Source organism: Homo sapiens, chromosome 1 (assembly GCF_000001405.40).
Source record: "Homo sapiens chromosome 1, GRCh38.p14 Primary Assembly".
Taxonomy (NCBI): domain Eukaryota; kingdom Metazoa; phylum Chordata; class Mammalia; order Primates; family Hominidae; genus Homo; species Homo sapiens.
Window position 1 is genome coordinate 110,209,990 of NC_000001.11, and position 27,610 is coordinate 110,237,599.

The 27,610-nt window shown below is 55.6% G+C and overlaps 1 protein-coding gene across 11 annotated transcripts in view, besides 6 other annotated features; it reads left to right on the forward strand.

Annotated features, from left to right (window-relative positions):
* Nucleotides 5-684: a silencer, noted in NCBI's record as "silent region_1171". NCBI's record gives its function as "represses an Ori minimal core promoter by ATAC-STARR-seq in GM12878 lymphoblastoid cells {active_cell/tissue: GM12878}" and the evidence as "EXISTENCE:reporter gene assay evidence [ECO:0000049][PMID:35858748]".
* KCNC4 (potassium voltage-gated channel subfamily C member 4) overlaps nucleotides 325-27,610 on the forward strand; it is a 73,767-nt gene continuing 46,481 nt past the window's right edge. For 2 of the 11 annotated variants that reach the window (XM_006710625.5, XM_011541401.4), the window contains exons 1-3: nucleotides 325-2,188; nucleotides 12,975-13,911; nucleotides 15,986-16,189. In XM_006710625.5, coding sequence (XP_006710688.1) covers nucleotides 1,511-2,188; nucleotides 12,975-13,911; nucleotides 15,986-16,189 — 1,819 coding nt within the window. In that variant the 5' untranslated portion in view covers nucleotides 325-1,510. Of the gene's footprint in view, nucleotides 2,189-12,974; nucleotides 13,912-15,985; nucleotides 16,190-18,543; nucleotides 18,810-22,231; nucleotides 24,056-27,610 lie in introns of those variants that run through there. The other 9 variants (XM_047419679.1, XM_047419680.1, NR_036437.2 and 6 more) reach the window with 8 other exon arrangements.
* Nucleotides 1,922-2,810: an enhancer, noted in NCBI's record as "H3K27ac-H3K4me1 hESC enhancer chr1:110754533-110755421 (GRCh37/hg19 assembly coordinates)". NCBI's record gives its function as "activates a minimal SCP1, AML or CMV promoter by ChIP-STARR-seq in naive H9 embryonic stem cells {active_cell/tissue: H9 hESC(naive)}" and the evidence as "EXISTENCE:reporter gene assay evidence [ECO:0000049][PMID:30033119]".
* Nucleotides 5,162-5,241: an enhancer, noted in NCBI's record as "active region_1463". NCBI's record gives its function as "activates an Ori minimal core promoter by ATAC-STARR-seq in GM12878 lymphoblastoid cells {active_cell/tissue: GM12878}" and the evidence as "EXISTENCE:reporter gene assay evidence [ECO:0000049][PMID:35858748]".
* Nucleotides 24,933-25,433: an enhancer, noted in NCBI's record as "H3K4me1 hESC enhancer chr1:110777544-110778044 (GRCh37/hg19 assembly coordinates)". NCBI's record gives its function as "activates a minimal SCP1, AML or CMV promoter by ChIP-STARR-seq in naive H9 embryonic stem cells {active_cell/tissue: H9 hESC(naive)}" and the evidence as "EXISTENCE:reporter gene assay evidence [ECO:0000049][PMID:30033119]".
* Nucleotides 25,434-25,934: an enhancer, noted in NCBI's record as "H3K4me1 hESC enhancer chr1:110778045-110778545 (GRCh37/hg19 assembly coordinates)". NCBI's record gives its function as "activates a minimal SCP1, AML or CMV promoter by ChIP-STARR-seq in naive H9 embryonic stem cells {active_cell/tissue: H9 hESC(naive)}" and the evidence as "EXISTENCE:reporter gene assay evidence [ECO:0000049][PMID:30033119]".
* Nucleotides 26,446-26,555: a silencer, noted in NCBI's record as "silent region_1172". NCBI's record gives its function as "represses an Ori minimal core promoter by ATAC-STARR-seq in GM12878 lymphoblastoid cells {active_cell/tissue: GM12878}" and the evidence as "EXISTENCE:reporter gene assay evidence [ECO:0000049][PMID:35858748]".

Below are 27,610 nucleotides of genomic sequence, written 5' to 3' on the forward strand. Positions count from 1 at the left end.
GGAGGTTAGAGGTCAGGGGTCGAGAGCGCTTCGGTGTCAGCGGGCTGCGGTGGGAGGAGCTGCGGGCCCGGGGGAGGCGCGGAGCAGGGCTGAGGGGGGCGGGAGGGGTTGCCGGCGGAAGCGCGCAGGGGCGGCGCGCTGGGCTGGGCACTGGCGGCGAGGAGGTGACGCGCTTGGTTGGGGCTCGGCTCCGGGGAGGAAGACTGCGCTCGGTCGCCAGGGCCTGCAGTGAGTCGGATCGGCCCCGCGCTGCGCCGCGCCCCGCCCACCCCGCCCCGCGAAGGGCGCGTCTGGGCGAGGCGGGGCCCCGGAGGAAAAGGCGCCACTGGGGCGTGGCGGCCGCTGCCAGCGCCGGAGGGAGACCATGAGCCCCTAGGGCCCCAGCCCACCGGCGCCGAGGCGCCCCCTCCCCTATGCCACCTCGCGCCCGCCCCCTGCCGCGCGCGAGCCAAGGCCGGCGCCCCGCCCGGAGATGGGCAGACGCGTAGATGGCGTGGCTCCCAGCGCCGCCAGATCGCAGGAACCAGGCGCCGGGGCGTTGCGCTGAGGCTCCCTCTCCGCGCGGCCCGGGAAGCCTGCAGGTGTCCTTGGCCGCTCGGCCGCCGCCCCCGGTACACCTTCGCCAGTGCCCAGAGCCCGGCTCCCCAGAGCGGCCCCGCCCCCCAGGCTCGGCGCCGCGCAGGACGCCCCGTCTGAGGCACCCCCGCCCCAGCGCGGCCCCCGCAGCGCTGCGCCCGGTCCGGCGCAGCTCCCAGCCGCGGACGCAGGACCCGAGGCTCGCTCCTGCGGGCGCGCTTGTTTTCCAGCTGCCGCCTCGCCCTGCGCAGCCCCCGCCCGCCCGGCCGCCGCTCTCTGCTCTGCCCCGCCTGCCTTCCTCGCCCGGCGCTGGATTTATGAATGGGGGGAAGAGGCCACATGCCGCCGCCGCCGCCTCGTGTTGACCGCAAGCAGCCCGGGCCCACGGAGCTCCGGCTGCCGTGAGAGTGTCGGCCTGGCCCCGGCAGCCGCTCGGAGGACTTGTTGCTGCTGCGCTGCCGCCGCTGCGGGGAAGCCGGCTATTCCGGGGCTTGGTGCGGTCTTGGAGCCGGAGGGTGGCCCGTGTGAGCGCGAGCGCCCCGGACCTTCGCGGTGCGCGTGGACTGTGCGCTTCCTCGTCTTTGGTCGGGGTGAAGGCGGGGGCGTGTCCCCGGCCCAGAGCGTTTGTGTGTCCCGTCGTAGCGGGGGACCGCGTGTGTGCTTGCTTCTACTTCCCCGGGTCCTCCCTCTCTGCGCCTCCCTCTCTCCGGAGCTTCCTGCCCTAACCCCAACCACCTGTGTACCGGAGAAATCCAACTCCTCCCGCTCCGCGTCCTAGGGGGATAGGCAGGGGCAAGCCCAAGCCGCAGAGGGGGCCGCCACCGCCTCCTGCCTCCTCTTCGTCTCCTCCCCCTCCCCCGTCTGACGCTGCCTCCTCGGGAAGGGTGTTTGGAGGGCAGCGGCCGCCCCAAGCCGGAGCCCCGCAGCGCTTCTTATGATCAGCTCGGTGTGTGTCTCCTCCTACCGCGGGCGCAAGTCGGGGAACAAGCCTCCGTCCAAAACATGTCTGAAGGAGGAGATGGCCAAGGGCGAGGCGTCGGAGAAGATCATCATCAACGTGGGCGGCACGCGACATGAGACCTACCGCAGCACCCTGCGCACCCTACCGGGAACCCGCCTCGCCTGGCTGGCCGACCCCGACGGCGGGGGCCGGCCCGAGACCGATGGCGGCGGTGTGGGTAGCAGCGGCAGCAGCGGCGGCGGGGGCTGCGAGTTCTTCTTCGACAGGCACCCGGGCGTCTTCGCCTACGTGCTCAACTACTACCGCACCGGCAAGCTGCACTGCCCCGCGGACGTGTGCGGGCCGCTCTTCGAAGAGGAGCTCACCTTCTGGGGCATCGACGAGACCGACGTGGAACCCTGCTGCTGGATGACCTACCGGCAGCACCGCGACGCCGAGGAGGCGCTCGACATCTTCGAGAGCCCGGACGGAGGCGGCAGCGGCGCGGGGCCCAGCGACGAGGCCGGCGACGATGAGCGGGAGCTGGCCCTGCAGCGACTGGGCCCCCACGAGGGAGGCGCGGGCCATGGCGCCGGGTCTGGGGGCTGCCGCGGCTGGCAGCCCCGCATGTGGGCGCTCTTCGAGGATCCCTACTCCTCCCGGGCCGCTAGGGTGAGTGGCAGGAGCCCGTGTCTCCCCATCTTGGGTCTGCAAGGGGTCCGTGGTGGGTGGTGGGTAGGGGCCGGGAGGAGCAGGGACCGAGCCTGACTTACCTTACCACCGCAGATTGTTCCCGCCTTCCTCTCAACCCCCCTCCGTGGCTCGCAGGGGAATTACACACTCCCACCCTCTCCCCTGCACGCTCCATCAGGAGATTGCACACACTTGACTTACTACTTGGACCCAGTCCCAGCTGCCTGCTTTGCCGCATCCCCTCCAGTGAGTGGGGTGCCCAGCTCAGCTCCTCCACCCCCTTCTTTGGTCTGCACAGGCTGCCCTATCTTCAGCTGCCCTCCACTCCACACAGGACTACGGTCCTGGAAGAGCTGGAATTTGGTCTTCTGATGGGGGCAGGCAGGGTTGAGAGGAAGGAAACTAGGGTGGGTTTTGTTAGATGCTTCCATGCCGTGCCACCTCATTTACATCCTCCCAGCAGCTCAGTGTGCTCACAACTATGCACTTCAGAGAGGAGGATATAGGCTTCAGCATCTTAAGCTCAGAAGAGGCAAAGCTGAGACCACAATCCGGCCTCCTTTCCAGGTTTAAGAAAGGCATTCTTTCTGCCAGGGAGGATACCATGCCCCTGAGGCTTCCTGCACACCTGGGATGTCCTGGCCTCAGCTGGGGTGAGAGGAGAATTAAACACGAAGGGCCTAGCGTTCTAGGCTCTGCAGGCTCCCACGGCCAGTGGCCAGCCACAGGCTTCCTGGTGATGATACCAGATTTTTGTTGCCGCTTCTTTTCTTTCTGCTGCAGCACAAACTGTCTTTCCAGAAAGCCCTGGTTCAGGTTACTGCTTGAAATGGGTGTATGAGGGAAGGGGGAAGCACAGGTTGATTTAGGCAAGACCTACCGCCTCCTCCCCAAGTAAATCCAGTTTCCCTAACTCCTTTAGGTGAAAGGGGAGAACGGGGGAGGTGCTTCCCCCATTATGCTTCGACAGCTAAAAAAAAAAAAAAAAAAAAAAAAAAATCCCTGAAGGATGGCTTTAGATTCTTTAAAGAAAGAAAACTCTGGGGGCTGGTGTCGGATCTCATGGTCAGCAGCCTAAAGCCTGGCTGGAGTCTGTCTGGGAGACAGGAAAGAGCAATGTAACTTGTTGGGTCTGGGGACTGCTGCTTGCTGTGGAACCTGGTTGGTTCCTCCAGCATCCCAAATTGTCATGTTAATGAGTCTCAGAGCACCCTCCCTTTCCCAGCACCCCTGTGCTGGACTCCTTCCTAGTCATAGAAGAAGGCAGGGTAGGGAATTGGGGAACAGGCCTGCAGGGAAAAGCCAGGCTGGCATAAATGCCAGGCCAGGGCAGATGCATCTTCTGCCTGGAAGAGAAGGGAGGAGCAGAGGTCTCAGGGGCCATGGCATACCGGGCTGGGGCTGCAGGCAGCCACGAGAAGGCAGGGATCTTTCTCAGGACTGACAACAAAGCTAGAGGCAACTGTCTGGGTTTCTTTCCTTGCAGCCCTGAGACTGGCTAAGAAGGTGAGGGCATAGTGATGCCCCTGGCCTGGGTCTGCTGTGAGTTCTACAGACTTCTCATGTAGGTCACTAACCTTGCTAGTGTTAGCACTTGGCTGTCTGCATTAGGGGAGAGAGGGCAGGCACACATCATTCAGACTCTTTCAAAGTTGGGGGTCGGGGAGGAGAGATAGAGATAGAGATGGGGAAAGGGGACAAACCAGGGAAGCAGGGATGAGATGAGGTGGTTAGGGGAGCTAGGCCCTATTTCTGAGCATTCTGGGACTTCTAGGGGCTTTTCACCTGCTCTTCTTCCCCTCTGGAATTCCAGGTGGCACCCCACATATCATTGAGTTTATTTTCTTCCTAACTCACTGCTGAATGGCCAAGCCAGGGGGCCTCTTTGAGTAAGCTCAGAGCCTGGCCTGCCCCTGGAAGTCTTCCCAGGAACCCAGGGTGCTTTGCCCCTTTGACATGGAATCACATCAGCCCAGGCATTCCAGTTGAGGTCTTGAAGTTTATGATGGAGCAAGGTTAATTCTTCCATTTAAACATTGAGAAAACCAGGATTCAGAGACATTAAGTTTCTTGCCAAAGACATTTAACTAATAGCAGAGGCAGGAAACCACCCCTAGTTTCCAGCCTTCTGGTTGTTCATCCTGATGTGAATATCTGGATGGAGCTCTGGCCAACACATGCACTAAAAGAGGACTTGCCTCCTGCTCAGGAGCCCAGGCAAAGGCAACCCTCACCTGCTCCCGGGACACACAAGTGGGAATACATAATTTTTACAAATTAATGAATAACTGCTCATTATTGAGCACCCCAGACAGATACATTGCTGTATATACTTTACATTAATCTCTAATCCTCCCAATAAACTTAAAACCCGGTGATTATCCCCGTTTAATAGATTGAGGCTGTGAGAAGGTAAACAACTTGCCTGAGATCACACAGCCAGATAGTGGCCAGGCTTTGAATCAAAGCCAGAGTCCCTGACTCCCAAGCCCTTGCTCTTGTGATTACAACACCTTCTTTCCACTGAACTAGGCTGTTTTTGAGGCAGAGAGCTTGTTTCTTACTGTAGCCTGAGAAATGTCCTTCTGAGGTTCTGTACCTCCTGTGGATGACATCAGAAAACCCAGGGGCAGATGGAGACGTCAGAAGGAAGACTTACTGTATTACCCCTCCAGGCCTGAGGGTACTATGCCATGCGGGGAGTTCTGGGGCTGCACTTTCCCCCCTCCATTTGCCCCTGGCTTGTCACACTGTCCCATCCTTCCCAGCCCTGTTCCCCCCGGTATATGTGCTACCTTCCCTCGCTCACAGCTACCTCCTCCCTGGAAGGGCCCGCAGCACTGTGGGGTGGTGGGCGAAGAGGGAGAGAGGAGCAGTGCTCTGCCCTGAGGCGTCCTTTCGCACACAGCAACCTGGTCATTTGAGTAGTGCGTTATGACAGGAGCAAAACGATACAAATGGAAAGTGAACTGAGCTGATTATGAGAGCCTGTTGCCTAGCTACAGGCCTGGCCCAAGGAGCTGTTCCGCTCAGGCAGGCTCCTGGACTGGGATGCTCACCCCTGCTCCACTGTGCTGGGCCCATGGGCAGCTGCTGCTGTGGTTCCGTTTCTGTGGCCTGAGCTGGGAACAGGTACGAGGGGCAGGGCAGAGTGAAGGCTCACCGTGGAGACTTCACAGCCTCAGGGGGCCCAGTGGAGGTTTGGCAGCATCCGAAACTTTAGAAACCTGCACCTTCTTTTCTGAGAGCAGACAAGAGGCCTGGAGAATGGGGCCAGGATGCCCTTCCCCTACCCTAGTCTCCAAGGTCTCCAGGGCAGGGCTGGCTTTAGCTCAGCTATCAGCCTTATTAAGGATTACAGTTCCTCTCCTTTGGCTAAATCAGCACATTTTTCCTGTGATGTTTCCCTTTTGAGTAGAGGAGGGGACCCACAGGAACTCCCTGCTCCAGGAAGGCAGCTCCAGCAGGGTCTTCCCCTTTGTTAAGTGTCAGTTACTATGTGGGAGGCTTGGCCTGTGCTTTCTGCTACTACTCATCTGGCCTAGGTGAGGCAGATATTGTTAACATCTGTGTATCAGTATACAGATAAGGAAACAGGCCTGGTGGGGCTTTCTCAAGGTCGCACCACTTGTGGTAGAACTAGGATCCAAACCTAGGTCTCATCAATCTAAGTCTGTGCTCCTCCTATGGCCTCTGGCTCCTGCCCAGAGAGGATCTCTGGTTTCCAGAGGGTGGCCCCTCACTGGAGAGCTTCTTCCTCCACTCTGCTCTTATCTGTTCCTTTACTTCTCACTCCCCAGAATTGGTCAAGGATAACCTCTCTTCTCACTGTGGGATTTCCATAGGAAAAATGAAGGGAGGCGTGGCTGGGAGAAAAGACTAAGGGAAGCTCCCTGGCCCAGGCAGAGCATGAAACCAAGGCCTTCTAGGAAAGGAGCAGAGCTGCATTCCTGCCTGCCCGCTTCTGAAGTTCCCTGGCTTCTCTGGTCCGGGCATTGCCTGGGGGACAGGTCAGTGATCACGACAGGCTTTAAAGTGAGGGCCAGGACTCACTGATGCTGTGCCCTCTGAGCTAGGGTGAACCAGGAACCTGAGCCCAGGAGGGCAGTACCCTGGCTTTCTGAGCTCCCCAGGAGGGCAGTGCCAAGCCTGCCCGGGGCAGCCCCTCCACCTCCTTCCTGAGGAGCAGGCAGGGGCCAGGCTGAAGGCTGCAGGACTCCCTGCAGGCCCTGCCCGCAGGGCATCCTCCCAGTTTCCTCTTGGGTTTGTTTTCTTCTCTTGTTCTGAACAGATCAACATTTGTCTCTGAACATCTTGTCTCTGAATGCTGAGGTGTTTCTGGTTGTCACATTAGGGGTGGGGTGTGGAGTAGGGAAGGGGAGAAAGTAAACGAGCTATTTTGGAGACTCGGGGGAAGAGCAGGCAGGCAGGAGCAGAGCCAGGCAGCTTGGCCTTGAGGGTAGGAGACCCTGGGCCCTTCACCCCCACCCATGGGCAGTGTCAGCCTGGGATGCTGGGCACCAGAGCTCTGTGCAACCCTCATTCCCTGTGCGTAACTGACTTGCCATGACCTCTGGCCCTGCTCCCTGCTGGAATTTTCTTCAGGCTAAGGGGTGGTCACCTGGCCCCTAGCAGGGGTCCTTATCTGGAAGTGGACCTGGCTCGCTCTGGAGGGCAGCAGAGGTCCTAGGGCCCCAGCACCTAGAGGTATTACTGGGCATATACCCTTGTCACTTTGTCCCAGTCAGTGGAGCTGATGACCTCTTCTTCTGACAGGCTCATCAGGACCAGGAGAGAGAGCAGGGGGTCACCTTGGCCCCAGTCATTCAGAAAACACTTACTGCGTACTTACCATACACATGTGGGGTTCTAGAAATCCAAAGATGAGTCAGAGGGGGCCATGCTCCTGACAAAAGCCAAGTCGGGTAGAGTAAGTGGCAGTCAAGGGAAATTAGGTGACAAGAAATGGCAACAGTAATACAAGACGGATCATGAGAGGTGCCACAGGAGTCGTAAGAAAATAAAGTTCAATAGGAAGTGAGAGGAGGAATCAATAAATCCCACCTCTACGTGGGATGAGGTGTAGGAGGTGTTCAGAGAGGCTTCCACAAGGAACTAGAAGTTGAATTGGGTGGGCCTTGTAGGATACTGACTTAGTGCCTTAAATAATTTTTTCAAAGAGTCACATTATAAATACATACATAAATAAATAAAATTTCCATGTGGGTAGAGCTAAACCATATGCAGCGTTAGGGAAAGGGGGAATTTTCTGGTCAGGTGACCAGCTCAAGCAGAGCTTGGACAGTGTGGGGCCTGGGTGGGCAATAACCAGGAATTCCATTTGACTGAATAGCGGGTTCTTGGATAGTGATCCGGGCTAGACTGAATTCCTTCTGGGGTAGGGACTCATCCGTTCTGGGCAACCCAGAGGCCCTGAGAGGCCCCAAGTGCTGGCTCGTCGGAGGGTGAGCATAGGTAGAGGTGGGTTCTGGACACTGGGACCAGAAGGTCCTGGCTCAGCATGGGGTGGGGGCAGGGCCAGGTCCTGTTCCTAGGGGCACCCATGGAGGGGAGAGGAGGGGATGTTTCTCTGCTGGGACCTAGGCCTTAGTGCGGGCCCTCAACCAGGAGCCAGGGATAGCTCAGAGATGCTTTGTTTGGCAGACCTTCTCATTTCCTGCCTCTTACCCCCGGGACTGCCCCACTGTCTTCCAGCACTGCCTGGGCACAAGGATCTTGCTTCCCTGGAAGGCTCAGTCCCTCAGTCCCTCACCCCATCCCCACAGATCTTACTCTGCCAGTGTCTTTGGCTGTGTTCTCAATTTTCCCTTCTCCTACACTTCATCCTTAATATAGGTTTTTGGGCCTGAGTCTCCTTATGTTTATCTGTCCATCTGTCTCCCTGGCCCTTCTTCCTGGGCTCTCCTCCCCTGCCCCCGCTGATTGTATGCAGTTCCCAATGATTGGTGTCTGTCACCTCTCCCCTCGACCCAGCCTGTGCCAGATTCCTGGAATGCTCTAGGCTTTGTGCTGAGTTTTACAAGTATCATTTCTTTGCATCCTCAAAACAACTGTACCAGGTAGATACTACCCTCATCCCCTCAAACATAGCAAGCAGATTGTAGCCTCAGGACCTTTGCACTACTCATCCCTTCTGCCTCGAACTCTCCGGTTCTTCGTATGACTCACTCCTTCACTCTTCAGGGCTGTTCAGGTGTCACCTTGTCATTAAGGCCTTACCTGACCTCTCTATTGGAAACAACTCCCCTATCCTCCCACCCGTTATCTCCTTTTTCTCTTTATTTTTTTTCATAACCCTTAGACCACCTGACATACTGTGTATTTTGCTTGTTTATTTGTTAAAGTCGGCCTCCACTAGAATGTAAGGTCCCGGGGCAAGGGTGGTTGTCTGGTATTTTCCCAAACACGGTGTCTTGTACTTGGTAGGCGCTCCCTTTTTCACTTTATAAATGAAGACCTTAAGGCTTGGAGAGGTTAAGGAACTCATGCAGGTCTCATATGCAGTCAGTAGCAGAGCCCAACTTGAACCCAGAAGTGTGTGGCTTTACATTTCTAGGGACAGTCCAACGGTGGGGTTGGTGGAGGAGGATGGTAATAGGGCTGAACAACTGGGCCTTTGGAGAGGGGTGAGTTTTCAACAGGACACAGGAGCCCAGGGGGCGCAGGGAGTTGGGAGGAGAGGCGCTCTCCTGCTTAGAGGATGGGAGCCTGCTGTCCAGGGTGCTGAGACCCTCCTGCATCCTCCCAGCAGGAGAGGAGCTGCCCCTGGTGGAGCCAGTTCACCGGCAGTTTTCTACTTGGGAAGTTTTGCCTTCCAGCAGAATCCATGCCCTTTGTGGTGGAAAGAACTAGCAGCTTCAGCCATGAAAATCAGGACAAGCAAGCACTCCTCCCTGGGCCTCAGTTTCTTCATCTGTAAAACAGCAGAAATGGAGTTGAACTGGATAACTTTCTCAGTCTCCGTTTTTCACTTCTAAAAAGCAAAGATTCTGTGGTATTTTGGCTCCAGATTCGGCTCACCTTCAAAAGCTGCACGCAGAGGACCCTAACCCTCCTCAACTCTTATCTCCATTTTATGGAGCACCTATTGGGTGCCAGGCATTTACCATGTAGAAGCTCATTTAATCCTACCGTAACACTGTGAAGGGGGTACTAGTACTGTCCCCATTTTATATAGAGGAAACAGGTGCAGAAGTTACCATTCATTTACCTGGTTGAGTGGCAGGGCCAGGATGAGGAATCCCGGAAGTCTAAACCCGGGCCCAAGGCTTCTAGTGTAGGGTTCCTTAGCTGTTCTCTGCCCTTAGTCTGTCAGCACAGGGGCCCATGAGAGGGAGGCTCGGATCTCCACTGCCAGCTCTGTAGGATGGCAGGATGGTCCAGTGGGGAATGAATAGAAGGCTCAAGGCTGAGGCTTTGGCCTCTAAGCAGGGTGGTGTTGCTGCAACCACCTCTTCTTCCCTTGGCCCCCTTTAGTGCTAGGAAGCCCTAGTCAAGGGAGCTGTGTATCCCTGCCCACAGGGATACACAGTGGATACACAGTGTGGACAGGTGAAAAGGCCTGGTGAAAAGCACCATTTGCAAGCAGGGTCAACCACTTATGAAATAATTCAGTTTGGGGAGCAACATAGGGCAGAAAGGAATAATTTGGGCCCTGAAGGGGAACCTGTAACCTCAGGACCCACCTGGAGCAAGGTGCCACAGCTCAGGCCGCATCTCTGTCTCCTTGGGGAGTGAGGGCTTCTTGGGGCCTGCTGAGTGCCTGCTGCCCCAGCCCTGGAGAGGCCACAGTGGAGATTGAGGCCCCACCAAGGTTTCAACAAAGGAGGAGGGGATTATACCTACCTGCTCGGTCAGAGGGGCCAATTGGAAAGAGCTTTGAGCTGAGAGTCAGGAGACTTGGCCTCAGTGTGATCCTGAGCAAATCATCTGCCCTCTCTTGTGCCTCTATTTCACTTAAAAAATGGGCACACATGACCACTCTTTAGCTCCCCTCCTCTTCTCAGGGTGGAGGTGAGGGGTAGCAGTTAATAGTAGATGGAACAGTTCTGTGTTTTGAAAAAAAGCAAAGGTGAATGGACAGACAGGAATCCAGGGGGTTGTTCCCTAATCCAGGATGTGGCTGGTGCCCACGGGGCCTGAAGGACTCTCTTGCCTGCTGCAGAATGAGCCCATGGTGGTGGCAGTTGAGGAGGGTAGCAAGGCAGGCTCCCTGGCCCTGCTATGAGAGGATGGCCGGGGCCATGCCGCCCTCCCTCCCTCCCTCCCTCTGCTCACCCTCTTGGCAGCTCTTCCTGAACTTGTTTTTCCAAGTCACTAATTAACTTCACGCTCAGTTTCCCAGGTGGGCCTACTCTCCTGGCTAACTTTTCCTCAGAGAGCCAGCTTCTGCTTCCCATGGTTCCTGGCAGAATTGGGATATGCTGTCCCTGCCCCTTACCTCAACCACTCTGTTTTTCAGGAGAGAGGGTGGTGCCAGGACTGGACTCCTGGCATGGCCACGGCCACGGACAGGCACTTTTGCCAGCCCACCTAGGGATGGCCATGGAGAGCCCACAGGCTGGAGCCATTTACTTAATGCCCATATCAGCCTGTATTGACTTGGCAGCCCCTTTCTCAGAGGAGGAAGAATGAGGCTAGAAAAGGAACTTAAATTTACCTTCACAGGGGAGAAGCAAGCAGGAAAAACTCCAGCAGTGTCGTAAAATTGGGAAAGTGTGTCTGTGTAATTGTTATTACACATGCATTTCATCTCCATTCACCCCCTGGACCTAGCCTTCTCCTTCCATGCTGTTTCTGATCAACCCATCCAAGTTAAAGTGCGAATGAGGTACAGTGAGGTGTGTGATGGGGGACCTGTCCTAAGCCTGAGGCACACTTTCCCACGGGTGAAATAGCAGTCATCAGGGAGCTAACTGGGAACAGGATCAGTGATTCAGAGATGGCTTTCCCAGGCCTGTGAATTGACCCTGCCTGGGAGGTGGTGAAAACACTGTGGTATGACGAAAAGGTACAGCCTTTGAAGTTAAACAGTTCTGAGTTCAAATCTGGTTTTCATCCCTTCCAGGCTGTGTGACCTTAAGCAAGTATGTAACGTCTCTGATGTTCAGTTCATCCTGCATAAAATGGGATGATGAGGCGTGCCTCACAGGGTCATTGGGAGGATTGAAGGCGATTGAAGCATATACAGAGTGCTTAACAGTACCAGGCACAGAAGAGACAGCTGATAACTGTTCATTCCCAGATTTTCCCCCTCAAACTTGCTCCTGCTCCAGTAGCCCTGGAGGTGCTGCTGCTTGCTTCATTTTCCCAGGTCCCCTTGTATTCTTCATTGGTGTTTTGCAGTACTAAGAACAAGGTATGCCCTCCCCATCCCAGTGCAGACTCCCAGGGAGGAAAACCTCTCTGAGTCCTCACTGGACAGGGGACGGGCACATGCCAGTGCCTGTCCACACAGCCAGGTGGAAGTCAGGGTAGGTCAGGCAGGCATGGGGATTACCAAATGGTACCATGAGGCCACAGACCTCCCTTACCCACCTATTTAGGCTCAGCCGTCTGGTCAAGGAGGAAGCCCAGTCCAGCCATCGTGCAGGACAGGCGGCAGCAGGAGGCATGAGACTGGACCCCATCAGTGGGCATCCTGACAGTGGTGGATGGCACGGCATGAATAACACATGAAGCCTCCATAATTGGTGTTATTACACATGCATTTCATCTCCATTCATAATGATTGGACACTTAAACCCAGCCGCCGTTCCTCTGCCGAGTGCTGCTGTCATCCTTCTAGCCGAGATCCCAGCAGCTGTCGAGATCAGCCCCTGCCACTCTGATGCTGATGCGTATGGTTCCTTTTTCTTTGGAGCTCAGAGTTCCAGGAAATGTCAGTTTGTGGGAAGGAGTGAGACTGGTTCTTCTGACCAGACCACCCTCTCAACTGCCATGGTGCATGTTGTCTGCCTTTAGGGGCTTCCTCACCATCTAGGCAGTCAGCGGGGACATCCTAAGGTGAGAGGCAGGAGAAGAGACTATGGATAATAGGCTCAGCCAGCAGAAAGTGGTCCAGGGTCATTCCTTGCAGCAACCTGCCTCGGAGCATTCCTTCATACAGTGGACTTCAAACTAGTGTGCATTAGGATTACTTAGAAGGTTTGTTAAAACATTGCTGGATCTTACCCTTGGCATTTCTCACTCAGTAGCTTTAGGTCAAGTTTGAAATTTGTGTTTCTAACCAAAGGACCAGAGACCTAATGCTTCTGGTCCAGGACCATACTTTGAGGACCATTGCCTTAAAGCCCAGTTACTGCAACTGTGGTGCATGGACAGAGCCTCACCTGAGTGCTTATTACAAATGCAGAATCACAGGACCTGCCCCAAGCCTCTGGATCAGGAATGCATTGTAACAAGATTCCCATTGCAGCTTGAGAAGCCTTAAAATGCAAATGGGTCAGAGGTGGGCAGAGCTATCAAAGGCAGGTCTAGCAGCTGTAGATACCTGACCAGTGTTTCCAGCCAAGAGCAGCTTCTATCTTTTGTGACAAAGATTGGGAAACATTGCCCGAGAGCCCCCAAGCATATGGATAAAGACCCTCTGAGGAGGGACTTCCAGCCCTGACTCCATACGTTAATCCCACCTCTCACTCTGGAATGCCCTTCCTGGTAACCTTCATGCAGAAGTCCACGTCCCCAGCTGGGCCCATCCATCCCTGTCTGACAGCTGCCCCCTGCTCTCCTCCCCTGCCCATAGGTAGTGGCCTTTGCCTCTCTCTTCTTCATCCTGGTCTCCATCACCACTTTCTGCCTGGAGACCCATGAGGCCTTTAATATCGACCGCAACGTGACAGAGATCCTCCGCGTAGGGAACATCACCAGCGTGCACTTCCGGCGGGAGGTAGAGACAGAGCCCATCCTGACCTACATCGAGGGCGTATGTGTGCTGTGGTTCACACTGGAGTTCCTGGTGCGCATCGTGTGCTGCCCCGACACGCTGGACTTCGTCAAGAACCTGCTCAACATCATCGACTTTGTGGCCATCCTGCCCTTCTACCTGGAGGTGGGGCTGAGCGGCCTGTCATCCAAGGCGGCCCGCGACGTGCTGGGCTTCCTGCGCGTGGTGCGCTTCGTGCGCATCCTGCGTATCTTCAAGCTCACACGCCACTTCGTGGGGCTACGCGTGCTGGGCCACACCCTGAGGGCCAGCACCAATGAGTTCCTGCTGCTTATCATCTTCCTGGCCCTGGGTGTGCTCATCTTTGCCACCATGATCTACTACGCTGAGCGCATTGGGGCCAGGCCCTCCGACCCTCGGGGTAATGACCACACCGACTTCAAGAACATCCCCATTGGCTTCTGGTGGGCTGTGGTCACCATGACGACACTGGGCTACGGAGACATGTACCCCAAGACGTGGTCAGGCATGCTGGTAGGGGCACTGTGTGCACTGGCTGGCGTGCTCACCATCGCCATGCCGGTGCCTGTCATCGTCAACAACTTCGGCATGTACTACTCCCTGGCCATGGCCAAGCAGAAGCTGCCCAAGAAACGGAAGAAGCACGTGCCACGGCCGGCGCAGCTGGAGTCACCCATGTACTGCAAGTCTGAGGAGACTTCCCCCCGGGACAGCACCTGCAGTGATACCAGCCCCCCTGCCCGGGAAGAGGGTATGATCGAGAGGAAACGGGCAGGTGAGATTAGGGGTTGGGAAGGAAAATCCCTTTTCCCCCAGTGGCCTAGGGAGTTTCCAAATGGACCTCAGACCTTGGGATTTGGCATGTGTTTTGTGTGGGGCTTCCCTAAGCATAAAGATGTGCCTTTATGAGGGCAAAGTGTTGAGGCCGAATTTCTCTGTCCTCTGGCTGGGTCTCCGATAGCTTCCCGAACATCAGATCTTTGGAGTGAGTATTCCACCCAGGGTAGGGTGTGATGGGCAGTACATGGGGCTGTATATTAGATGCCCTGGTTTTAAATCCAATCTTGGCCACTGTGCTGTGTGCCCTGAGGCCAGTCACTCACCCTCTCTAGGCACCTGTAAAATGGGAATAATATCATATCCTACCCTCAAGACTTTGAGAGACCCAAATGAATGACAGATATGAAAGTACTTTGGGAAGTCAGAACCACATTACAAATGTCAGGTACTGTCAATATTAGCCAGTGAGCAGGGCAGCTGTTCTTCCAAGGTACATCAACACATGAATCACTTCTTTGCAAACGTTCGAGTCTGGTATCTTGGCCTAATAAATGTGATAACGTAATAGCAGTGGGAGGCTGCCTTCTGTTCAGCACAAGCTAGATTGAGTCCTGGGCTCAGGGTTTGACATGGGATGGAAAGGAACTGAGGAAGGAGTGGCCCAGACAGTGTTGGGAAGGGGAGGAACATGGAAGAAACTGATATCTGTGCCCTGGAAGGGGAGAGCCTGGGCATCTGAATCCTGTCCCTCAAGGATGGGAAAGGCCATCCCAAGAAAGCTCATCTCCGCCCCTGAATCAGGAGTTGGGAAATGGAAAACTGCTTAATCCCCAGCAATGTGAACTTCGGTTGGAGAGAGGGAAAGGCATCCTGACTGTTATGTGTAGGCTGGGCTCCTGGGAAAGGTATGGAATTCCTGGTATGGGGAGGTGGACTGGAGCCAGGAGACTAAGGCTAAGCTCTGGGGCAAAGTGGGACTGACCCTGCAGGAGAGGCGCCTAGCTTGGGACACTCACCTATGGCCTTTGGCATGTGCCTATCATACATGCCCGGGTCCACTCATTCCCGGGGGTCATGTCAGGGGCCTGGGTCTTCCGAAGGCCTTGATAGAAGAGCATCCATCAGGCTTCCCATTTCTCCCCCACCAAAGTGGCACTGCTTCCTAATTTGTGAATATTAATTTCCCGGGGAATTTCAGCTGCACTCTGAGGCCCATTCAGGGTATAAAGAGAATCCCAGTATTAAAACGTAGAAGTCCTTAGGTCAGCTCCTCAAGGTACACTTAACTGTGGCCCTATCAGCCTTGCCCTTAGCCTGACCCTGAGAGCAGCCACAGTAAGGGCATGCCTGGCCAATGGCAGGGCCACTGTCTTCAGATAGAGTAGCACCCCCTTCTCCAGATCCAAGGGCCCAGCTTCACCTGTGCTACTGCCTGACAGAGGCAAGGGGTGGAGACTAAGCCCACAGCACTTGAGAGCTGCGTCGGAGCTTTTCTCATGGTATCCTCCCCAGACAAAGGTCAGCCCTAATTGCGGAGGGCTCTAGGTCTTTTGGGCACAGGACTCTGGCCTAGATGCCTAGTGAACAAGAATTACTGTCACCCAGGGAGAAAGCATGGACGCCACTTTATAGGTTTAACCCTTGCCGTGCCACCCCTCACCGCTAGCAAGCCAGGTATTCTCCACGGGAAAGCAGACTCATCCAAGAGTCAGCCTGAGCCAGACCCAAGGAGGAAGTAGAGTCTGCGGACTGCTTTGGGCTGATCTCCTGGGGCAGCCGTCAGCAGGCAGATTTGGGGAGTCACTGCTGTAGGGCATCTGCACTGTGGCTTCATCCCTGAGGAGAGACCCTAAGCTGAGGCTGGGAGGGAAGTCAGTCTTCACACCAAGTGTAGCATCCCTGCCTTTTGCCCTCTGCTCCCCGGCTCTGGCAATGCTGCCTCTCAGGTAGATGCTAGGCCCCTCCCAAGGTTGAGGAAGTAACACTCTGGGTCTGGGAGACCCCAGATGACCCATGAGCAAGGCTCAGGTCGCCCCTCATGCAGCCTCCTTTCTGTGTGCCCCCTTCAGACTCTAAGCAGAATGGCGATGCCAACGCAGTGCTGTCTGATGAGGAGGGAGCTGGCCTCACCCAACCCCTGGCCTCCTCCCCGACCCCCGAGGAGCGCCGGGCCCTGCGACGCTCCACCACTCGAGACAGAAACAAGAAGGCAGCTGCCTGCTTCCTGCTCAGCACTGGGGACTATGCCTGCGCCGATGGTAGTGTCCGGAAAGGTATGGCTTCCCAAGCTGGACAGGTGGGGAGCCCCCACAGAGCTGAGTCTCCCGAGTCCCCCACCAAGAGCCTGAGGTCCCCCCCTCCCCTGAGACCGTGGCCGCCATCTCCTCTGCCTTGGATGCACCCCCACTTTTAGAATGGGTACCTGATCTCCCAGTCCCTGGATTAGAAAGGTCTTCTCCATCTCAGAAGGGCACACGGCTCCCATCCAGCTGCCCATGGGAAAGAGCAGCGCTAGAGGGTAAAGGGTGCACAAGGCCAGGGTCCCTGCCCCGTGCTTCCATTGCATCTCTTTTTCTACCTCTGGTTCCCGCTGCTGCCTTCAGGCCCCATTCCACAGGGTCACTGCCAGCCTCTCCCTAGGCCTCCCTTAAACACAGCTAAGGCTTCCCAAGTAGGTGACCCCTCGAGGTGCCAACAACGTTCAAGAGTCAGGGAGCCCCACACAGGCCCTGCATCCTCCCATCCTGCGCCAGGGGTCCTGGAGCACAGGATGGGCAGACTTCCGTCTGCAAGCACCTAGAGGGTGACTGTCCTCTTGAGGCAGTGCCAGAGATGACCAAGGGGTGGGATAGGTGGGCAGGAAGAGTGGGTCCCATCTGAGGAATGTTCTGAGTATTTGGAGAGAGAGGGAGCAGCCCATCCTCTGCTTGTCGGAAAAGGCTGAAATTCCATCCCCAGGCCCCAAGCCTGCGGCAAGGCAAGGGCAGAGGTTGGGCTGTGGAGCTAGGGATTCCTGGCCTCGGAAAGCGGGTAGGAATGATCAAGGATGGTGGAGGGCCCGCGGTGGCTGAGAACCAGGGGTCTTAGGACCAGGCCCTCCTACCCAGTTTTCGATCACTTATTCGTCTCTCTTGCCCTGTCCCTGTTACCTAACCTCACTCAATGTTCTACCTCTTTCTAGAATAAACCCTGACTCCCTCCAAAACAGAGCTCTTCCCCAGGTTCTCTGCCACTTCTTAACCAGCTGGATTTCCCATCCCCCACTTCCCTCTGTCCCCAAACCCCAGACCCAAACTAGGTTGAGTGAGGAAGGGGCAGTGGCAGCTACAGGAATAGCCTGTGATGCCTCTGTCCCTCTGAAGATGTCCCAATGTCCCGTGGCCTGCCAGCCCATGCAGGCTCTGTGGGCACCTTCTAGTTTCTTTCCCAGACCTTTCAGTACCACTCTCCCCATGGAAGCCCCAGGCCACCCTGAGCCTAACCAGCCCCTGAAAGGTGTGTGTCCAGCTTTGTTGGGCATGTGTTCTGTGGACTGGCAGAAATGGGAATAGTGATCTGGTGCCTAGAAGGAAGTGGTCCAGCAACCCCAGCAAAAGGCAGCAGATGGAGGGTGCTCAGACCTCTACCCTCGCCTGTGTTCCTTTGTTCACCCCCGTGTCCTATCCTTGGGCCTGGATTTGGCCTTCTCTCCCGCCGACCATCCCAAACAGGCAGTGGCTTCCACTGTGTCCTTGTTCAGGCCCAAAGCCTTGCTCTGGCTGGACCGTGCTAAGCAGACAGTCTAGAACGAGTGGTCCCTGTGTAGGACTCGAGCACACAGAGCTGAGTGCCACGCATCCCTGCTTTCCTCCCTGGGCTGTGAGGGGCTCAGTGGAAATAGGTGTGGAAGAGGCCGTGAGGGTACCAGTCAGGAGGGACCACGAGGTACTGGGAGTGGACTGCACCTGGGGAAGGAGTTTCACCGGCACGTGCACGGGGCAGGAGAGCCAGCATCTCACCATCCAGTATCCCTGGGGTGCCTGTGGGGCCTGTCTGCTCTGTTTTCAAGATGCCTCCACACTGCTTCTTGGCAACAGGCATGTAGCTCAGCCAATTAGAGTGACCTTCGAGAGGGAACAGGTGGGTTGCTGGGAAACAGGCCCTGCTAAGCAAGCGTGGCAGTTAACATTGCCAAACTCCCAATGCACACTCGGCAACTTTCTCCACGCCGTACCGTGCCGCACTTCTCCACACTCAGGTTATGCTTAAGACCAGGAGTGAGTGGGTCTGGGCCTCCTCCACACAGGCCCATGTATCAGAGTGTCAGTTCCCTGGGAGGATGGTGGCAGGTGCTAATTAGGGCTTCTTAGAGTCAAGAAGGCTGATGCTGGAGGCTGTGGGGTCTTTGTCTAGCTGGGCTATCAAGGAGCTGGTGGGAAGCTTACCTGGGGGCAGGACAGGACAAAAGTCAGCTGGGTGTGGGGCCCTGGAGTCTGTCCTCAGGAGCCCAGGAGACCTGAGGCCAGGGAGAGTCAAGGAGGGCCAGGCCCCTCCACACCAGCCCAGGGCCACCCGCCCTGCAGTGTCTCCTGGAGCGTGGACCCTGTGGAGCTGCGCCCACTGACCCATGTGCCTTTTCTTCACCAAGGCTGTGGAAAGTCCCGGAGTCTAAACAACATAGTTGGAGCAGCTGGAACCAGCCTGGGGCTGTCTCCACTGGCATCGCGTTACAGCTTGCCCTACCCTCTGAAAAAGTTCCTGCTCACCCCCTTCCACCCCCTCACCGGCCCACCCCCTGGTCACTCTGCCCCTTAGCTGCACCTTCCCCTCTGGGCACACGCGCACAAACAGGCACCCTTCCATGCCCTCAGCGCTCACTCCCCAGGGCCCACGCGGGCAGCAGGAGGGAGCAGGGGGGAGCAGTCAGGACAGAGGAGAACTTAGGCCCCCGAGCCTGCCCTCCATAGCTCCAAGCTTCCCAAAAGGTTCAGCTCTGGAACCGGAGAGCAAAGGGGAAAGCAATCCCAGAGCTTCTCCCCATATTGGCCTCTTCCTGGGCTGTAGGTGCACACCCCGGACCTGTCTTTCGGCCTTGCCTTCCTCTCGGGGTCCCACCAGGGCCAGTCTCAGCCACCAGGCGTTTATGTGTGCACAGAGCGCCTGGGGCCAGTCAGCCTTGTTGGGGAGCCACGCCTATGTTAATATCTTTAATCACTGTGAATGTATTTCCATTCCTCATAGCCTTTAACCAGTAGCCGAACAGCCTGTCTGTCTGTCTGTCTGTCCACCCCACACCCAGACCAGCAAGGAACAAGGCTGTTATGTCGGGCATCTCTGCTGGTGTAAAGGTGGTTTGACTCCTTGGAAGAGCAGTGCCTATGGGCAGTGCTGCCCTGGGAGAAGAGGCCTGATGTTTTCTATCCCTGGCTTGGGGCGCAGGTAGGGGTCCCTAGCGTTGTAGCTTCAGGCTTGGTGCAGGCCGTGGGCGGGCTGCCTAGGCGAGGGAGGCCCTTCCCTCAGGAAGCCTCTGCCCAGATTCAGTGGTGACTCCCACTGGCGGCACCTGGTGTCCCTTCTGCGCCCCGAGCTGCAGCATCGCTCTCCACGCTGCTTCCTCTGCTTCTGCGACAGTTCTTCTTCCCTCTCCCTCTCCCTCAAACTCCCAGCCCTGCCTCTGAGTCACCTGCCATTCCCACCCAGCCTCTGCGCTCTGTATTCCTGCCAGAACCGGAGACTCATCTAATTTCTATAATTAAGTGTATTCATTTACCTAACGAGCCCAGGAGCACAACAGGTTTGTGAGTCACTGGGTGAGCAGGGGTACACCTTGCGCAGGGGCAGCTGAGGGGAAGTGTGGGGACAGAAGCCATCTTGCCCCCACCTGCTCCTGCCGCTCCCGGGAAGGGGGCCCTCCACAGCCTGAGGAACAAGGTTGCCTCAGCCAAGACGTTTCCTCTTTCACCTGATGGGAATTAGACCTGACAGCAGAGCCGTGCGCCTGGCAATTTTTAGAGTCAGATTATGCAATTTTGCGGAGAGAATGACTAAGTAAGGTCCAGATCTGCTCCTTCCATGGTCAGCAAAGATAGGATGGCAGGGCAGCGTCGGGGCTGGGCAGAGGCTGGGAAATCTGAGGCTCCCCAAAAGGCGGACTGGGCAGAGCAAATTATTGCATGGGGTTGGGGGTGTTGTGTAAAGCCTGTGCCCGGAGTGTCCCCATCTCGGCACCTCCCTCAGTCTTGGGCAGACACAGAAATGTCCTTCTGGAAAGGTCTGTTCAGAGTGGGCACTGGGATACCCCCACCCTGCAGTGGTTTGTGGGGCCTGCCTCCCACTTGCTCTCAGAATGAAGTGACCTGACCCATAAGAAGTGAGAAGAGGGGATGTGGGGGCCTCCATGCAACTGCCCTTCAGGAGGGAGCAGGCCCTTGAAGTGACAGGGATGGGGAAGCCTGTGGAACAGGATGGAGATGCGAGGGCCCCTCCCCCAACAGCGAGAGGACTCCCTGGCATGGAGGGCCTGGGCTCTGACAGGGACACAACGAGCCGGGTGTGCAGGTTCACAGGGATGCCACCACTGTTTTCTCCTCTGACTTGCCTTTCTGGTTCAGGGAACCGAGGCCGCTATTTCTGTGGCAGCCCTCAAGTTGTCAGGAGCCCAAGTTTCCACGGCACCCACCGCCTCCTTCCCTCTCTTCCCTCCCACAGGGCTGGGTCTGGCTCATGGCACCCCTACGGTGGGCACAGATGTCCCTGGGCGACAAGATGCAGCATTGCCAGGCTGGAGCCCTAATGCCTCGGGGAGCTGGCTCCCACACATCCCTCCTGGCTCTCTGGCTTCATCTGGGAGAGATAGAACCCAGATAGCAGGAGGGCTGAGTAGACTGTCTGCCCTTACAACCTCTCAGCACCTCTGGGCCTGCCCAGGGCCCTGGGAAAGGGCAGGGTGAGCCCAGGCATTTGCAGAACCCCTGCATACCAGGCACTGCCACAGGAAGTGGCTGCCTGTACAGGCGTCAGGCTCACCCAGGCCTTGAGCCTCCCTCCTTGAGAGAAGGCTCTCTCCCACCCACCATCTGAGAGTAGAGTTTGTTTTCCTTGGGCTAGACTTGGACCTGCACCCACTACTTTGTTGTCAGATGCCTTTCCCCTGCAGCTGGAGCTCAGCCCCTTCCCACAGAACTGGGAGGCAGTCTGGGTAGGAGTTCACAACCTCGCCTTCCAGTCTGTAGCAGGGTTACTGGCAACCTAGAGACCAATTTTCAGGGCTTCTGAGAGGTAGAACCAGAAGGAAGGGCACTGCAACCTAGAAGCTGGCTGACAGGAGCCAGAGGGGAGGCCATGGACTGGCTGCAGGGCCCAGGCTGCCCTTTCACAGAGCTTCCTGGGAGAGGAGGGCCTGCTCTGCTCTGGCCAGCGTCACCCTCTGAAATCCCTGCCCCACCCCTGGTGGGTCAAATAGGTAAGAATCCAGGATGAGATTCCTAGGAAGACCCCTCCCCAACTCTCAGAGGTCCCTGAGGATGGAGAGTCCATGGAAGCCAGTGGAAAAGCAATCTAAGGCCATTATCTCAGTATGGGCTGCTCTGCTCCCTGGCTTCTGGGACACTTGACAGCCTTGCTGTGACTCCTTCTGTCTCATCCTAGACCCATCCTAGACCCCTCAGTAGCCCAGGCATTCTCACCGGTGCATCTTAGGGCCTAATTGCCTACTGGGAGCCCAGAGGCACTTCCCTGTCCCCTAATGAGTGGGGATCAGTGGCAGGTGTTGCTTAAGTTACGCAGACAGGAGTACAGGGCAAGACCACAGCTCTGTCTGCGTGTCCTCAGAAATGGGGCTCTGAAGAACCCTGAATTCCTCTGATTTCAAGGATAGTACTCAGAGGCCCAGAACACTTGTAGGCAAAGGGGCAGTGTTTAAGGAGGTGGCTGGGGCATACAGTCTTAAGAAGATGGAAACAGCATCACCCCAAGATGAGGACACCCCTTCCCTAGAAAGGTGATGGAGGCACCCCGAAGCCCAGGATGGAAGCTGTGAGGTCTGGATGCCACATCTGCACTCCACCTTGACAGGAGGCCTAGCCCTAGACCTCAGACCCGAGAGCTGCAGGGGTTGTCCCAGCGGGTCTGGAACTCCCACCTCCACTGTTGACCCAGATCTGCAGCTGGGACAGCAGTACTCCTACCTGCCCTACCTGTGCTCCCACTGGTAAGGTAGGGGAAGGAAAGGCCCAGGTGGTAGACATCCCAGGCTGAGGGTGGGATCCCAAAAGGGCTCTCTGAGGGGTTGGGTTTCTCAATAAGGTACTATTTCCTGACCTTCTCTCCTGAGACAGGCACATTCGTCCTCCGTGACCTTCCCCTTCAGCATTCACCTGAGGCTGCATGCCCTCCAACTGCTGGGACTCTGTTCCTGCCACATTGAGGAAGGGGGCTGGGCACGACATGGCATCATACTCAGGAGCCTTCTTCACCAGCTCCTTGGGACAATGGAATATCCCAGGGTGGTGACAGCAGATGGAGCTACTTGGGGGAGAGCTCAAGTTGGTCAGGCAACAGCTGGGGTGATGGCCTGTGAGCCACAGGCCACATCAGGAACTTTCCCCACTGCCTCCATGCAAGGCTGCAGAGCTATGGTCCCTTTCTCCACTGCACTGGAGCTTTGAAGACCTAAGAGGCTAGTGGTTCCTGGAGCTAGTGGTTACCTGAACAGGTATGGCGATGAGCTACAACATCACCTGAGTCACCAGAGTTGGGTTGGCAGAGGGGTGAAGGGTTCACCCCATTCCCTGACCCATCCATGCTCTTCCTGGCCTTTTAGCCCTGGGTTCCTCATGCCTTCCAGCTCTGCTCCTGGTCTACTCCTTAGCCCACACCCTGTGGGTCAGCAGCTGGCTTCCTTCTAACGTCTCATTCTTTGTTTCTCCCTTTCTTTTGCTGAACTCCCTGTCCCCCCAACCCCAGAAGGCAATGTTGAGCCGAAAGCGTGCGTCCCAGTGTCTCACACCTGTGCTCTTTAAACACAGAGACCTGCCAAGACGCCCTCTCGTCCAACTATGCCCAGGCTGAAGTCCTCACCCTCTCTTAAAGCGGCACCAACGTGAGAGAGACAGGCAGACAGACAGAAAGCCAGAGGCTTAGGGAAACTCTGGAACCCAGACAAGAATCTTTTCGCTGGGAAAGACTCAGATATCCTTGTTTGCACAGGACTGGTGGAAAATCTCCCATGCGACCCTCGGGGCCCAGAGCCATCTGGGTCTGATGTTCTGTTCCATTGTACATCGAAGAGATATATATGCACATATAGTATCTATATTCATACATATTATACTCTTGTGTGTAGTGCACGTGCTATTGGTGGTTTGTCTTCTTTGTTAGGCTGTGTCTCCCTAAGCCCTTGCCCCACCCAGAGTTTCCCGTCCCCTTCACTGATTTCTGTTGTTTCTGCTGACTGTGTGGGTGGAATGTCCCAAGAAAAGTGCATCTGGGAATTGCCAGTCCAGCTGGGTAGTCCCAGGCTCCTGTCTTGGGGATGTTTCCCCTGTCAGCAAGTAACCTGGTGAAGTCTATTGAAGGCCAGACTGCCCCCTAGGGTCACTGCTTCACTAGCCGCACCCCACCCCAGATTGGGGTTCTACCTCCCACCCCACATCCTCGTTGTGGGGGGACTTCCAGGGGCTCCTCTGCAGCCTCCTCCACTACTTCCTCCACCCCATCTATGTCCTTGACTTAGGGGGGCATTTTGTCTTTTTTAGATTTGATTTTGTTCTCTCTCCTTTGTCTGTTTGTTGTCAAAGATGCTGCTGGGCAGACAGGCAGGGAAAGGATCTGTCTGCCCATCTGGCCCAGGGGGTCCGAGAAGGGAAGCCTTGGGCAAGAGGAGACCAGTTGCAATACTGTACTTCCTGGTCAGTGGCCAGAGGATGCGTGCAATAGCAGAGGCCAGGTGACCCCTTCAGCCTTGGCCTCTGCCCCTCCCTTGGCCCTCCCTCCCTGCTCCTCCCTGGTGTTGGTCAGTCCTTTTCTAAAGCTGTCCCCTCGTGTGTGTCTGGGGCATGCCCAGGCTGGGCCCTGTGCCCTGTCTGCATGCCTCCAACTGTCATGCTGTGCTCGAGCCCCAATAAAGACATCTGGAGCATCCTGCTGCTCCTGCTGTGTGAGCACCTGCCTCTGCCTCTCCTTTCTGGCTCTGTGTCTATTGGGACCTCCTGGGGCTCTCACCCCTGACACCTGAGGAGTGCACACACTCAGCATAACCCCACTCCAGCAGGAATCATCAGTGTGGCCTGACCCCTGCATTTTACAGGGAGAGACTAGTGCTCAGAGAGGGCAAGTCATCTGCCCAAAGCCACACAAAGAGGACTAACCCAGGACCCCGAGACCCAAACAGTGTTCTAATATCCACTGCTGTCCCCAAGCCCCTGCCATAACATGGAAGAAAAGACTGTTCTTTGTTTAAGGAATTCCACTGCATTCCGTTTGTGCAGGGGGCCTCCCCTCCTCCCTGCAATTGTACCAGTTCTAAATGGGCCAAGACCCTGGGGACGCCAAAGTTATTGGCTGGATGGCTGATGAACTGAGGCCAACTAGAGACTGGTGGCACAACTGGGGACCACTTAGGGATGGAGAGTGAACACATCCTGGGCCTGGATAGGACGGGGAGATGGTGAGTGATGGTCAGACGTGGCCCTTGGCTCTCACTGTTGTTATCCCTCTCACGTTCACATAGGGGCACACGCAGGGCCAGCTTCATGGGTGTGCAACCTGTGCAGCCACTCAGAAGGGCCCCATGCTGGGTTTAATGCTTGGCTGTCACCATCATGAAATTAATAATGGTTGAACAGGGGCCCTGCGTTTCCATCTTGCACCAGGCTCTGGCGGGTCTGGTTGCCTGCTTGCCTCTCCTTATTCTTGTCTTACTCCTCACTCTTACTCTGGGCATCTGTGTAGGACCATAGGGGCCTCAATTCAAAGTCTTGCTTTGCTGCTTGCTAGCTGGGTGACTTGGGGGTGACTCACCGAAATGGTTTCCCTGTTTGTTAGGGAATAATGATGGCCCCTGTTTCAGAGACAGAGTGAAGAGCCTGGCCTGGTGTCATGTGTCTACCTGTGATATGACATATAGTAGCGGCACAGTGTCAGCTCCCTCCCTGCCCTGTTCCTGTCACTCTCAGACTTTTCTCCACAGACTTCTGAGATCTCCGTGTCCAGCTGCACCAAGAAAGGACAAGAACACACCCGGGAGCTGTCTTGGGCAGTGTAGAACAGCAGGGTGAGGACGGAATGGCCGAGGAGAGGGAAGAAGCCAGGGGAAGCCTGTTCCTGAAGTGTAAGGAAAGATCGGGCTTGGAGCCTGGGCCAGCCGAGGCAAGGGGGTGGCAGGCAGCCAGTGTCAATTAAAGATAAAATTTCTCCTCCGGTAGTGGAGGGCAAACAGTGGCTGTGGCCCCCCTAGACAGGAGAAAGCCATTTGCAGCCAGGCTGGCCTTGGAAAAGCTTGGCCAGGCGATAATGGGACGGGATGCGCTGCTGACTCCATAATGATATTACGCATCAGGGCCCACGGCCAAAGTGGCTGTTTTTTCTGTAGATCGATGTGGAACCATTTCATGGTCAGGGGCTGAGAACCCAGCCAGCAGCAGGGGTACTAGATGCCAGAGTGGTCCTGAGGGGACTGAAGGGGTGGCAACTGGGGTCCCCAGTGACCGTTTCAGGCTGCTGGAAGAGGAGGGGGCAGTGTGCAGGAGGGTGGAGGGGTGGACGAGAGAAGCAGCAGACTGCCCCTCCTCCCCACCTCACAGAAACAGCAGGCCGTGCTGTCAAGGAAGAAAGGGCTCTGGCTTCCTCCTGTTCCCCAAAGCTGGAGTCGAGCCCAAGGTAGGGAGCTGGTTAAAAGAACAGGACATTGTTTAAAAGAATAAGACAGACTTTTGAAGTCAGGCAGACTTGGGTTTGAGTCCTGACTCCATCACTTCCTTGTTGTGTGACCCTGGGCAAGTTACTCAGCCTCTGTGAACGTCTATTTCCTCATCTTTTAAATGTAGTATCTGCCTGAGGCCGTGTCTCTCTCATTGAGCCATGAGGAGAAATGAGTCGGCGCCTGTAAAGCCTCGCGCACAGTGCCTAGCACATAACCATTGCTAGAGGGAGAGGGGAGTATTTTGGGGCAACTCACTCCAGTAACAGATGACCAGTTTGGTTTGATGACCTCACTTTTCAGTGAATCAGCCTCATTTCACTGAAGTCCTTAGTCCTTATCTCCTTGTGAAGGAATAAGAGGGGATGATTATACCTAACAGCGAACATTTATTGAGTGCTGGGCAGTACATTTCATGCTTATAAAGATGCATTCCAAGATTGATGTTATCCTTACCTTTGTTTTACGAGGAGAAAACCAACACAACAATGTCAGGTCATTTCTCCAAAGTCACACAGCCATTAAGTAGCAAAGCTGGGATTCAAACTCAGTCTGGCTCTGTGGGTCCAATGCTTAGCCACTCTCTGAACTGAGTGGGGCTTGTGAGTCATAACCTCCAGTGTAGGAGTTTGTGCTTTTAGTGTTATTTCCTTAACTGCAATTGATTCTCATAGCAAAGGTATTGTTTTCCCCTTTTACAGATAAGAAACCAAGGCTTGGAGAAGTGAATCATTAAACTCACTCTCCCTTTTACGTGTATGTACCCCACCCCACACACACATAAAGCGAGGAGGAATGTCCTCTTGGGATTCATTCATTAATTAGCAGCAGGCAACACCCAGCTCAGTGACTGCTTGGTTCCTTCCCTCTGCGACCCCACTGGAGTTTTATTCTCTGACGCACAGAAGTGGGTAAGTGGGGGTAGGACTGCTCTGGAACCCAAGTTACATGAGGAGTGGCTCAAGCTGGAGAAGTCTTGGAAACCTGATCCCAACTACCAGGTGTTTAAAGGGTACCTGTGGGGAAGTGGGTTTAGATTCTTCTCTGATTGCAGAGAGCAGATCCGGAAATAATAGGTGGAAATGTTAGGAGGGCAGATTGGGTTTAAATTTTAAAAAATCTTTTTTTAATGAAATTTTTGATTTGTAATTTTTGTGGGTACATAGTAGGTATATATAAGAACCTTATTTTCTGTTGTTTCCCTTGCTATTATAAATTTATTACTGCCAGTCATGGTGGCTCATGCCTGTAATCCTAACACTTTGGGAAGCTGAGGAGAGTGGATTGCTTGAGGCCAGAAGTTTGAGACCAGCCTGGATAACATAGTGAGACCCCATCTCTACACAAAAAAAAAGAAAAAGAAAAATTAGCCAGGTGTGATGGCATGTGCCTGTAGCCCCAGCTTCTCGGGAGGATTTCTTGAGCCCAGGAGGTTGAGGCTGCAGTGAGCTATGATCATACCACTGCACTCCAGCCTGGGCGACAGAACGAGACCCTGTCTCAAACAAACATTTATTTAATACAAGGTATTGGAAACCATCCCCATACCAAATCAACAGGGAATCCCCTGTCACCCTTCCTCAGTCCCACTTTCCTCCCCAGAGGTGACATGGTTAACATCTGGTGTGGGTCCTCCCAGGCTTTTTGGAAAAAAAAAAAACTTTCTAACAAAATTACCAAATCAAAATGGGTTTCCCTGCGGGGTAGTGAAGTTCCCTTCCCTGAAAATGTTTGGAGACACAGTGGATGATCATGTGCTGCACCAGGGTTCGTGGGAAGTATTTCTGCTCGGCGTGGG